This window comes from Homo sapiens, chromosome 15, assembly GCF_000001405.40.
Source record: "Homo sapiens chromosome 15, GRCh38.p14 Primary Assembly".
Taxonomy (NCBI): domain Eukaryota; kingdom Metazoa; phylum Chordata; class Mammalia; order Primates; family Hominidae; genus Homo; species Homo sapiens.
The window spans coordinates 66,095,125-66,108,381 of NC_000015.10; the positions used below are offsets into that span (position 1 = coordinate 66,095,125).

At 51.9% G+C, this 13,257-nt stretch overlaps 1 protein-coding gene across 23 annotated transcripts in view, besides 1 other annotated feature; it reads right to left on the minus strand.

Annotated features, from left to right (window-relative positions):
- MEGF11 (multiple EGF like domains 11) overlaps nt 1-13,257 on the minus strand; it is a 358,452-nt gene that overhangs the window by 199,826 nt on the left and 145,369 nt on the right. The window lies entirely within an intron of this gene.
- Nucleotides 1,193-1,973: an enhancer, noted in NCBI's record as "H3K4me1 hESC enhancer chr15:66388655-66389435 (GRCh37/hg19 assembly coordinates)". NCBI's record gives its function as "activates a minimal SCP1, AML or CMV promoter by ChIP-STARR-seq in primed H9 embryonic stem cells {active_cell/tissue: H9 hESC(primed)}" and the evidence as "EXISTENCE:reporter gene assay evidence [ECO:0000049][PMID:30033119]".

A 13,257-nucleotide genomic window follows, 5' to 3' on the forward strand; every position in this document is an offset into this window, starting at 1 on the left:
TTTCTTATCACGCAGTTGAATGCTGCAGCCTCCTGAGGTGGGAGGTTACAGCGGCAGGCAGTTTGCCTCAACCACTCTGGTGCTGAGGCTTATTGACAGCAGTTTGAGGAAGGGAAATTATTTTTCTCTTTCTTTGACAGAATCCACATTTCCTCAAGGTCATCTTTTGCTCCTGAAAGATCTGCCCCACCATCTAAGCCATCAGTGAAGGATTACAGAAAGCCCCCATGTGCCACCTCCACCAAGTCTGAAAGCTCAGGGAATCAGCAGTTACCATCAACCCTGTCAATTCCTTAGACCAGATCTAGATGGTTTTTTGTTTTGTTTTGTTTTTCCCGAAAGCAAGAGACTTCTCTCTGCCCAGTACTGGCCTGGGCTAGGGGAGCAGATGGTCCCCTTTGATGGCCTCCCACCCACTGCCTGGCCTAAATGCCCACTGGGAAGATGCTGTTGGGTTAAACAACAAGGCTCATTTTATGGCTGATGTGGTCCTCTGGCCCCTCCTAAGCACAGAAACTGACCCCGAAGCTGCTGCCTTAGCTTTGCCCAGGCCCCAGGCAAGGTAGACCCCAGAAGAGCCATTTCACATGCCCCACTGGTCAGTGGTCTGGAGTCAGCCTGTCCACTGCAAGCCTGGGTTGTGGTGTGTCTGGAGATCCCTAGTACCTGGGTCCTTCTGATTGCCACAGGTAGCCTTCGGGGAGGGTTGTGGTGCTTCCCCAGTGCTGGAGCCCCGCTCGCTTGCAGCCCTGAGAAGCGGCTAACCCAGTGCTGGAGAACCCAGTGGGCCTTGACCCCGGGGAACAGCTCCACTTAGAACCACAATGTGCTGCTCACGCGGCAGCTAGCAAGACTGTCAGTCCTGCTGCCCGGGCTCCCCCTGTTCTCACTGGACTTTCCAAACAAGCTCAAATGGGTCAGTGCCCCCAGGACACACCAGTGTCCATCCTCTGGCTCCCCATGGGATGCCAGCCCCTCAGCCCAGCCAGCTCCCAGCCCTGGCCTCAGCTGCTCCCTGTCCCTCATCCCCACCCCCACAGGCTGAGGTCCCTGCATGCTCCACAGCTGGGCTCATCCGTGTTACAGCTTGTCACATTAGCTCACTAACACCGCCAACTGTTTTCTGACTGCAGAGAGCAGGACCTTGATCCCTGGGGTCTCTGCCGAGGGCGGTGAAATCAAGCAGTGACTTGCAACCTGCCGAGTGTCAGGACTCGAAGAGACTTAAGAGAAAATCATGTCCTGGCCCATTGTTTTATACCTGGAGAAGCTGAGGCCTGAGCGTTCATGGCCCCTTGGGCAGTGTGTGGCCTCTCAGACAGGGAGGAAGGAGCTTGGGGTGGCTCCTGGAGCTAGAGGCCTCTGAAGGTGGAGAGAGCCCAAGGCTGTGGGGACTTCACATTTTGCCCAGGCTGTATCCAGCCTCCCCCGCCCACATGGCTCAGGGGCTGGCGGTGGGGCCGTTCCAGAGGGAACAGCAGAGGGGTGCTGTGACAGGCCCACAAGAAGGTCAGTGGTGACCAGAGACAGAGGGTGGAGGAGCTGCTTCAACATGCTCAGCACCACACAGGTTAGGGATAGGGTGGAGGGCAGGTAATTTGAGAAGGAAGACCACCCAATGACCAGCCTGCCCCCTGCTCCCGATCCTAGAGACCCAGCCCATCTGCCTACCACCTGTGCCTTCTCCAAGCTGGGGGGGAACAGCCTTCCGGTGCTCTGAGCAAGCTCCACACTGCACTGCCTTTTCCCTTGGTCACTTCCCAAAGCCCCAGAGACCAGCAGGACAGTCTGCAGAACACCGCCCCCCACACTGCAGACACAGACCTCAGCTCAGTCCTGTATCCAGCCCCTAGACCCTGGTAAGGACTCTGCTAAGGCAGCAGCTTCGGGGTCAGTTTCTGTGCTACTCATGGAGGACGGTCATCCCACAGTCCCTTAGCTTGACCCCAGGGATGCAGGTGCATCTCCCTCCTTTCCTCATCGTCCTGGTATTTTGCCTGCACTATTTGCTTGTCAAAACCTCAATCCATTCATATTTCGTAAGTGTTGTTTGAAGCATGAAATATTGATAGCAAATACCCGAGGCTCAGGCTGCCGTATTTGGCAATTGGGCCACCGCGTGTTTGGACACCTGGTGGGGAGGGGCTGGGGGTGCTGCGGGGAGAGTCTCCTAGGGAGGATGGAGGTGGCCATCCCTGGCGCTGGGGCGGCTGACTCCTATGCCAGCAGCTGGCAGCCCATCTCCAGAGGCCTGGGGTTACTCAGCTGCTGCTCCTAGAGCGTGTGGGTGCCCTAAGCTCTTTCAGACCACAGACCCCCATGCCAGTGACTGCCTGGGAGGGGTTGGGTTAGGGTGCTGCCACCCTGGCCTCCTTCTTGGAAACTTACAACTCTAAACAGAGTGTTTTGTCAAGTCCCTCTTCACACTGCTGCACATCCATCTGCTGTCGTGGACAGGGCAGCTGGTTGGGCTCTGACAGCACCAGCCGTGTGATGGGGCCAGCCACTCACCCTCTCCTGGCCCCACCAAGAAATATGAACTGCACTCTCACCACCCTGCTTCAGTCCTGCTTCTGACCTCCCAGTGTGCTAGAAGCCTTCTAGCGAGACTCCATCTCAAAAAACTACAAAAAAAAAAAAAAAAATGCCATCTGTTTCTTGGTTGGGACTCTAACTGGTCCAGGAGCCAAGCCGAGGTTTGCACCCACACGTGTGATGCCAAAAGCCTGCTCGCACAGGGTAAGATGAGTAAGATCCAGCAGCAGATCTGTCACTGACTTGCTGTGAGAACTTAGCTCATCTCCCTCCCTCCTCAGGGTCTGTTTGTCTGTCTGTGAAATGAAAGGGTTGGATGACAGGATCTAAATGTTCCCTCCAGCTCTGGGAGTAAAAGCCTCCATGATAGCAACTGCCAACTTCTTTGGCTGACTGATTCAAGCTAAGTTTGAGAGGAATTTGTTCCACAAATGCAGGATAGAGCTTGGCCCGGGAACAAACGTGTTCAGAGGTACAGATGGAAGGCCAGGGCATCAGTTCTGGGGCAGCAGGTGAGCTTGCATAAGCAGGCCGGGACCCAGGACAGCGATCTTGGCACCAAGCAAAGGTGTGTGTGCGTCAGACTTGGGGTCTCCTCTGCAATCAAGCTGCTCAGATAACACTGGCCCTTCCCTAACCAAAGGTGGCCCCATCTGCTGTCCCCAGCTCATGGAAGCCCTCTGAATCAATTCTCCCTTCTATTGGGCCTCCACCCAAGATGACCCACAAGTCCCTGAGGTGCCTGTGGTCATATATTTTGCCTGGAAGTTTGCAAATGGTCTTACTAGTTAATGGAACTATAAAAATTACTTACATGAAAGGGTCAGGATAAATAAAGACAACTTCCACGCCCCCTGGCCAACTAGCCTGACATTCAGCTAAGATCCAAGAAGGCTGGGAGGTCAGGGAAAGGGTGGTAGCCTCCCAGAATCCTCCAGCATATCATCTCCAGAGCCACCCCCGAACCCAGTCTCCCCAGTGCTCCAAGGCACATTGATCAGTCTGCCATTAGCATTCTTGGCAAGAGGTCTCAGATCAGGCTGTCATTGGATTCAGCTTGGAAATAAAATGACCTACATCCACGTGGACCCAAGTGCCAATTCTGAGGTGACATGCTTAGCATGAGTGATTCTGCCATGCCCAAGGTCACACGGCATGTGTGTACGTATTAGTGTGTGTCTGTGTCTGTAGTGGGGCTCAGGGAGTCACCAAGGGGAATTCTAAAACACTTCATCAGATGTGTACCACTCATTCTTTACAGTTCCCAGCCCTCAGTCCCCTCCATAGCCAGGAAGAATAAAAATGGCTGGTCCTTTCCTCAGCCCACCTAGAGTTGGCTTTTAATTGCTGTGGCCACATTGGGCTTCCATATATGAAGAGACAATTATTGTTTTAACAAGCAGCACTTCCCCAGCAAGGCTGATAAGGTAGAAGGACATTAACGGCCAAACACTCTCCTGGGTTGCAGGACTGGGGCCTGCAGGGTGTGACTCCCACCCAACCTGGCCAAGAGCCACTCCCCATCCCTCCCACCCCTCCTTTTTCTTTTTTTTTTTTTTTTTTGATATGGAGTCTTGCTCTGGTGCAATCTCGGCTCACTGCAACCTCTGCCTCCCAGGTTCAAGTGATTCTCCTGCCTCAGCCTCCCGAGTAGCTGGGATTACAGGCACGCGCCACCAAGCCCGGCTAATCTTTTTGTATTTTTAGTAGAGACGGGGTTTCACCATGTTGGCCAGGCTGGTCTCGAACTCCTGACCTCAAGCGATCTGCCCACCTCAGCCTCCCAAAGTGCCGGGATTATAGGTGTGAGCCACCGCCCATCCTGCCACTCTCCTTTAATTTGGTGGTGCCCTTGCTGATTTGTATTCCAAGGCAGCAATGCATTAAAAGCCAAGGTCCCTGCTCTGCCACTCATTAGCTGCATGTCCTTGAGCAACCTCTCTGGTCCTGTTTCCCCTTCTGTAGAATGGCTGTTGACTTGGTTATTGCACAGAGTAAATGAGTTAACTCATGCAAAGCACCAAGTACCAGGGGTTAGTTATAACTGTTGCTTTCTTTTTAAAATGTTGCTGTTGTTATTAATATTCCTCTTCCCAGGACTGGGCTGGGGAGCTGGGGTACCATGGCCCCTGAGCATGCTCAGGCTCATTTCCAGCTCAGAGGATGATAGAATGGCCTGCGTTAGGCAGGGAGCGGGTGGGGAGGAAGGAGCCCTGGTAAAACTAGAAGGGCTGGGACTGGGAGTGGGGAAGGAGACACAGTCCAGAGTCAACTCACTGGTGAATGATCATCTACCAGGGCAGCACTGGGCATAGCCCTTTCCGTGTCTGGTCCTCAGAGAAGAGGAGCGTGGAATGAAAGGAGGCCCCAGTCCCACCTTCAGGCGCTTTGTCTCATGAAGCCCCAGTGGTTGCGCTTTGGGGGGGAAATGTGAGCTTGTACCCCAAGGTCCCCCTGCCCCCGTGCACGCTCTGCCCATTCATGCAGTACCATGTACATGTGCATTCACTCTACCAGTGTTTACCGGGCACCTCCTGTGGGCTGGGCTCTGTGGGCAGGGGTTAGATAGAGGAGTCCAAAATACAGAGAGGGCCAGGCCTTGCCCTGCCTCCTGGTCTTCTGGGCGGTGAATCCTCCCCCTACCTGCTCCTGACCCTTCCCCTAAAGAGCAGGGGCCTGGAGTGCCGCAGGGAGAATTCTCTCTCTCCGGCACCCCATAGAGAGCTGTCCAAAGAGGGACAAGGGCCGCACTTCAATTCCCACAGGCCAGGGTGTAAGGTCAGAGAACAGACCGGGAGCCAGGCTGTCGGGACTCAGGCTTGGATTCTGCTACTTCCCGGTTGCAAGCCGTGGGTTACTCAGGCAAGTTATTTAACCTCCCTCAGTTTTTTTCACCTGTGAAACATGGACAATGGTCCCTTACCTCACACATTCATTGCAAGACTAAATCATTAACACTTGTAAACTGCTGAGAACAATGCCTGGCACATGGGAACCTCACTATGTTTTTCAAAGTCATTCATTCCTCTGAGCAGTCACTCACTCCCAAAGCATTTATTAAGCACCTACTATGTGCCAGATGCTGTGCTGGGAATACCATAAGCAAATAAGTCACAGTTCCTTCTTTCGTGGTACCAACAACCTGATGGCAGGAAAGGGAGACGGCACCTGAATGAGTGAGTGAGCCACTGGATGGGTGGGTGGGTGGGTGGGTGAGTGGGTGAGTGAGCGAGCGTGTGGGTGGGTGGGTGAGTGAGTGGGTAGGTAGGTGAGCAAGCGTGTGAGCCAGTGAGTGAGTGGGTGAACAGGCGGGTGAGTGAGCCAGTGAGTGGGTGGTGGGTGGATGGGCACGTGGGTGGGTGGGTGAGCGGGTGAGCAGGCGGGTGAGTGAGCCAGTGAGTGGGTGATCCAGCGAGCAAGGGCACTGGAACATTACTGGTGCTGAAATCATAGCCAGTTCAGAGTGCAGGATGGGCCCTGAGAGAGTAGACACTTCTTCCACATGTCAGGGACAGGGGAAGACATAGGAAGAGCTTCACAGAGAAAGTGACACTTGTCTGTGTGACTCCTTCAGCCTCCTTCATCAGGCCCTCACTTCTCCAGCCTGCCGCTCCGGACGGCTGCCCTCTCATCTTTGGCACTGGAACTTCAGGTTGTGAATGAGCCCCTGCCCTCCCCACACTGGGCCTTCAAACAGCCTGGAACTCCATCTACAACCTGCATCTCCAGCTCTCCCACCACTTACTTGTGTACATTTCACATAAACTTGGATGTCACTTCCTCCAGGAAGCTTCCCCTGACTGCACTGCCCACCCACTCCCCACAGGCTGGATGAGGTCCTCTCACTGCTCCCACAGTATCTGGTTTGCCCCATAGGCCACAGCACTGACTTCTCTCTACTACTTGTCTGTCTTCCATACCTCCATGAAGGCAAAGAATGGGCTATGTCCCAGCACCTAGCATGATGCCCGGCACATGGCAGGTGTTCAATAAATATTAATACATCCTGAACAAATGAGTATCTGAATCTGCAGAGGCTCCCTCTCCTCTCATCAGGGCTCTAATTGTACTAACTTGAGCCATGCCCATCTGGCTGAAGGTGAATACATAATTAAGCTATAAGACCAGGGCAATGCTGAGCCCCAAATCCCTAGATGGCAAAATGCTCTTTAGAAAAATTCCAGTGACTCTGCATCAAAGCCTAGGCTCTGGCCTCCCCAGTCTGAAGCCCTGGGGGCCCTCTGTCATCAAATGCCAGTGTCAGATTACAAAATCCCCTGAGGACCTCCCTTGCAACGCTACTAATCGCCCCAGGGTATTAGCCTGCCTCACCTCAACATGGCTTAACTGTTAATAATTGTTTATCAATTAAAATTGTCAACTTGTCAGAACATTCCCATTGGGTTTCCACATAAAGCAATCACATCCAGCCACTGGGCCTGATAAAAGCTCCAGCATTGCAGTCAATTCCCTTAATCGATGCTTCGGGCCCCAGATCTGCTCGTGGCCGGCTCCTGGTACCCCAGCCTTCCTTGCTTTGCAAAGGATTTTCTCGGCCGAGCTGTTCGAACCACCAATGCTGTATCCCTGCAAGGAGCAACATCTTTGCTGTCTAGGTGGAAGTGGTACGATCTGTGCATGTCCTAGAGCAAGCAGAGCCATGACTAGGCTTCTCCATTCATCAAGCTGAGTTCCTGCACCTCATTTCCATGATGAAGACTAGGAGCTTGGCAATATTTATTTGCTGTTCTCTCTAACCATTTTAAACATTTTCTTTTTTTTTTTTTTTTTTGAGACAGGGTCTCACTCTGTCGCCCAGGCTGGAGCAGCCATCACAGCTCACTGTAACCTCCAACTCCTGGGCTCAAGCAATCCTCCTGCCTCAGCCTCCCAAATAGCTGGAACTATAGGCATGCACCACCACAATTAGCTAATTAAAAAAGTTTTTTTTGTAGAAACAGGGTCTTTCTCATATCAGATCCCAAGTTGCCTAAGCTGGCCTCAAACTCCTGGCCTCAAGCGATCCTCCTACCTCAGCCTTCCAAAATGCTAGAATTACAGGCATGAGCCAGCACACCCAGCCTAAACATTTTCTTTAGGTAGACAGGGAGGGGTCTTGTCCACCTCCCAACTCTATGCTTATACACCCAGGGTTCCTTCCCAGAACTGAAAACTTGTTTCCTTTGGCCCTTGGCCTAGCGGTACAGCTTTCTCTGCGTTATCATGCTGTACTGGATAATAAGAGCTGACACTCAGCACTTACTGTGTGCCACACACTGTTCCAAGCACCTTACATGAATTTATTCACCTAATCTTCCCAAGCCTTTTCACAAGTGGAAAGCACTGTTATTATCCCCTTTACACAAATGAGGAAACTGAGGCACAGAGGGAATTAACAATAGGGTTCCCCAGACCAAGTTCCATCCCAGCAGCAAATGAGAACTAGAATAGGAACTGAGTGGGACAGATGGCTGGATAGGGGATGAGGTGACCGCACACAGTGGGGGTCAGACCGGCAGCTGCAGCCATATCCCATCAGCTAAAATCTGTCCCTCCTCAACCTCCAGAGATGCCAGACACAGAAGCTTCCAGTGCAGCCTTGGAGCAGCTAAGTCTGCAGGCTACTGGCTATAACGGAATGGTTATTATGAGCGTGAAAATGACACCAGATGCCTGGGTTTGACTCCCCAGTTCTAGTGCTTCATTCCTGTGTGACCTTGGGCAAGTTACATAACCTCTCTGTGTCTCCATTTTCTGAGACACAGAGAATTGTCTGAGAATGTTAATAGTACCTACTTCATAGGATTGTGAGGATTAAATGAGTTAGTAATGAGGCCTAGCGTATAGTTTGTGCTATGTAAGTGTTAGCTATGTTGATGACAGTGGAGGAGGAGGAAGAGGGAAAGAGTAAGAGGAGGATGGGAGAGGAGAAGGCAAAGGAGGAACATGAGGAAGAGGAGTAGAATATTGTTATTTCTACTGCCAGCCGGTCAAGGTGGGGGTGGTCAGGGGCTGGTGAGGACAAAGCCCCATCATATTCTCTTGTGGCACAGGGGCTGCTACTCCTATTTTGTAGATGAGGAAAGGGAAACTCAGAAAGTAGAACAGCACATCGTAGTCTTTAGCTAGTTAAAGTGCAAGGCAGGGCTGCAACCCATGGTCCTTAAGCCTAAGCTAGAGCTTAGACACTTTACAGCACAGACCCCCAGCCAGACGTAGGGGCCCATTCTTTTAAACTTAAGGTCCTGGTGGATTTCACAGCCGCAGCTTTTTCTGCATCAGTGCCCTGGAAACCCAGCTCCACTGCTTCCTAGCTGTGGGTCCTTCGGCAGGTGATTTCACTCCTCTGAGTCTCAGCTGTACACATGTAGAGAGTGAAATGCATTACTGCAAAGTCACTGTAAGGATAAAATTAGATAACATGTGTGAAGGCCTGACACCAAAAATGGGAGCCCCTCCTTTGTCCCTCCCTCCCTTTGTGAAGGCAAATGTCCTCCAGGAAGGTCTTCATCTAGAATGTGCTCCACATGGGGCTGATGGGTCCCAACAAGCTTCGTTATCTTGTCTGGAGTTACAGCTTTCACAGTCTGGTCACTGTTAGCTCACCTTTCCCCTCTGCCCACCCCAGCCAAGCAGTTAAGTCTTTAGAAGAAACTGTGAAGGCCTGTGACAGCCTGTTTGGGGATGCAGTCTAGGAAGAAATGGCCCTGCCCTGGGAAAGCTTAGGAACCTCTTACCCTCTTACCATAGTTACCATGAAACTATGTACGTACACCATCTAGAAACAAGCCAAATGGCATTTCCAAGGATGTTTCATGATTCTTTTCTAATCACTTTGCCTCTCTTAAGTTCTTTCTCTAATTCATTAAGAATGGTAATTGCATTTTTCCATTTTAAACTTTTCCTTTGGTCTTGGGTCTCATTAACTTTGCCCATTGGCTTCAAAATGAGAAAAACCTCTGCTCTACAGTCACCACAATTTGAACTCATTTCATAGAAATTCAGAGCTGATAGGTCTTCTTACATTACAGATAAGAAGCTAAGACCCAAGGGAGGTGGAATCCTGCATCCATTCACACAGCAAGATGATGGCCGAGCAGGTGAATTCCATCTCTGAAAGCCAGGTCAGGGCGCACATCTAACAGCATCATGGGGGTTTCAAGCCTGAAGCGGGTGGCTCCCTGCTAGAGGCAAAACGCGAGTCCTCTCAACTTGGGTTCAGTGGCCTCCTCCTCCTCCTCTTCCTTGGAGCCAGAAGCCAGAGTTGGGGAGGCATCTCAGACAACAAATGCTGCTTAGTGCCCGGGTACTGCAGAAACCCCTCCAACCAAAACTGTCCCATCAGGGACCAGATGGCATTTGACTTTGGGGCTGAAGACCTCAACTAGATTCAAATCTGGCAACCCACAGAGAATGTAGCCCCAAACCTGGATCTTGCCTCAGGAGTTTCCATGCAGAGATGCAATTAAAAAACGGGGAGCAAAGGAGAAGCATGTGCTCTGATTAGGAAAAACAAGGGCGGCCACTCCTACAAAGCCACAGGGCTCGTCCTAGTGCTTGCACCTGCTCCTTGATTCTAGGGTCCAGATAGAAGGAGGAGGCCCAAATAAAGGAAAGGAAAAAGCAAGAGGAGGAGGAAGAGAGAGACAGAAAAGGGAGAAGGAGGCCCTGCCTGGCCTCCCTTCTGCAAGGCCGGGCCCTGCCATGGTCCCCTCCCCAGCATTAATCCTCTAGTAGTGCTTTATATAAGTCCATTGTGCAAGAAGATTAAAAGGGACAGGCAGAACAAAGCATTGGTCTCCCTAACAAAGGCCCCTCCACTTAGTAAATTAGGAGCTCTTTCTACCTGACACACTTTTAAAGGGAAATCTTCAATTACTATGTGCTGGCGGGGCAGGGCAACAAAAGGTCTGTCTGGTGACTTTATTCTCAAAGCCCTGAGCAGGCACTGAAATGGTTTTATGTAATAGAGATACTAATCTAGTCCATATAATTTTGAGAATCCTTTATGGAGGACTGAAGGATGTTTGAGCCCTGCGGCTGTTTCAGAGAGAATTTCTGCAGCTTATGCATTTACCTTGCCAAAAGTTTAGCTGAGCAAACAGAGTCCTCTAAATCACACTTGCTGTTGATTTCCTATCAGGCCTCCGCAGTTTGTTTGGTGGATGAAGCCCTGTGGATCAACAGAGGCCAAGGCTATAGTCCCTGCACCTGGCCACACCAAAGGGCTAGGGGCTGCCTTTCAGTTGCCGCCACTCTGGCTCCCAGATTTGGGAGTTTTCCTCTCTTTCCAGCCAATGCAGGATAAAGGCAACCAGAGGGGCAGTTCTCTGGCCAGGGGAGGGAGGAGGCCTCCCTGGCTTCTGCCCTTGGTTCCAGGTCTGCGTCCATTGTGGGAATGAGATTGATGGTGTCATTTGGCTCCCCTTCCCCACCCCATCAGGAGCAAAGAAGCGATTCTGGCTCCCTTGGTGACAATTCAGCACCACTGCTGCTTAAAAAGGGAAAGGAGAAAGGAGATGGGAAACAATGATGGGGAAGGTGACTCTCAGGAGAGTCTAGGGAGAAGTGAAGGCACAGCCTCTTCGAACATGCCAGCGTGCAGTTATGCACTTGGTACATAGGTTACTGGGGGCTTTTTCATGGACAGACATGTAATATACACATACAGCAAGTAATACATGCAGAACATACGGGTGCACACATGTGTAGGGGGAGCATTTTACACACAGCAAAACCCAGCTCTCAATATACATGTGTGTATGCAATAATAAACGCCATCACTTCCATAGCACCCTCCACATGCCTGGCACCATTCTGAGCTCTTTACATACCGTCACTTACTTAATCTTCCCAATGAGGCCACAAGGAAGGTACTATTTCTACCCTTGTTTACAGGTGAGTAAACTGAGGCACAGAGAAGCTAAGTAATTTGCCCAGAGTCACACAGGCAGTAGGCAGCAGTCTGGCTCTAGGGTCTATGCTGTTAACCTTGATATCAGCTGGTATAACACGCCTGCACAGACATCCCTCACGTGGATTGGGAGCAGCCTCCACACATGCAGACTCACAATCCCATATGCACCACGTGGACACACAGCCAGACATCAGAGCAGATATGCCCCTTCCTCAGAGGTCCAGACATATCACATCTGCAGCGTCAAATGAGGGATTCCAGTTCAACTAAGACTAGGGTAAAAGACACTGAATGGTAAAATATTAAAATATTCCTCTTCTCATTGGTAAATGGTTGCTTACCCTTCCAAGACCCCCACCTTCCTATCATCCAGCAACTACAGGGTTAACAGCTAGCCACACAGGGGACCTCCAGGACCTATTCCATTCTAACTTCGTGATAGGGGTGCCAAGCCTGTAGTTCAATGTTTATATTCCTACCCCCCCACCAGGTATAGACAGGGAGGGGATGGTGGGATGTGTGCCTGCAACGAGGGACCCTGCTCCTAGGCTCTCCACTGGGCTTGGCCACTGTCAGGTCAGCACAGCGTAAGGAGTGTCCAGCTCCCCAGCCAGTCCCCACCCCGCCTACTTGATGGACAGCTGAGCAAGGCTCTTGAAAGACAGGTCTCCAAAGACATTGAAGTAGCTACTGGGAGGCAGTGGGAGGCTCTGAGCTTGCATTGTCACCCTCACTGGGGCCACTCAGCAGCCCTCACTGAAGAGCAAGCATTAGAGGAGATTTGGGGACCGGCATGCCCATTGTCCACAAAAGCCCATTAGTGGCCAGGAGGGAGGAAGGCGCTCAGCAAACCAGGAGGCACTGCATGAGGAGCTCCGTCCCTCCCACGTCCCTCCAGTCACTGCTGCCCTACGTCCTGGAAGCTCAGCTTCTAACTCAGAGGTGGCCTCCTGGGTTCTGCGACAGTAAGCTCAGTCCCCACAGAGCCCCAGAGCAGGGTTCCCAGACTCTTCACACACATGGGACATGGGTACAGATACCAGAATTCTGGGAGAAGCTTTGGGAACCTGAGGTCCTGGAGGGGAGGATAAAAGAGGAGAGGAGCAGCCCTCAGACCAGGGACCTGTCTGAAGCAGGCCACCCTCCACTCTGGACTCTCAGGCCCTGCCCAGAGACTACTCCTTTGGGTATCCCTTGAGTGTACCCTGGAAAAGCCAGCCCACTCATCCTTGTCATCAACCAGCCTGCACGTTCCAGCACTGGGCCCTACAGATACAGAGGGGTCCCACATTCTGGGCCCTCAGGAGCTCATGGCCAGTGAGAGAAACAATAAACACATTGACAATGGGACCTGGAGTGAAAGGGGCTGCAATCAAGACAGGGCCGGGGCTGGGTAGGGAGGTGTCGAGTGGGGCTCCCAGAGAATGTTAGGCTCCACACTGAGTTTTCAAGGACCAGTATGCAAAAACTGCAAGAGCAGGATGGGGGTTCAAGGAGGCGAGGGCAGCCTGCACGAAGCCCCAGGGAATGAGAGAATGTGGAGAACTCAGGCAGCTGGGTGGGATGCAGAGGCTCAGCAGTGAGGTAACGGGACGTTGAGGAGCAAGACAGAGAATCACGAGTGTCATGTGAAGGACCCTGCGGAACGCACCTGGAGTGGGCAGCCCTGGACGGAGAGGAAGAAAATGCCAGAAACCACAGCAGTGGGGCAAGGCAGGAATAGAGTGGATTGAAGGTGCCTCCAATTTTCCAAGGCTATTTTCTGAGCCCCTACTATGTGCCTGGCACATCATGACCCACTGTAG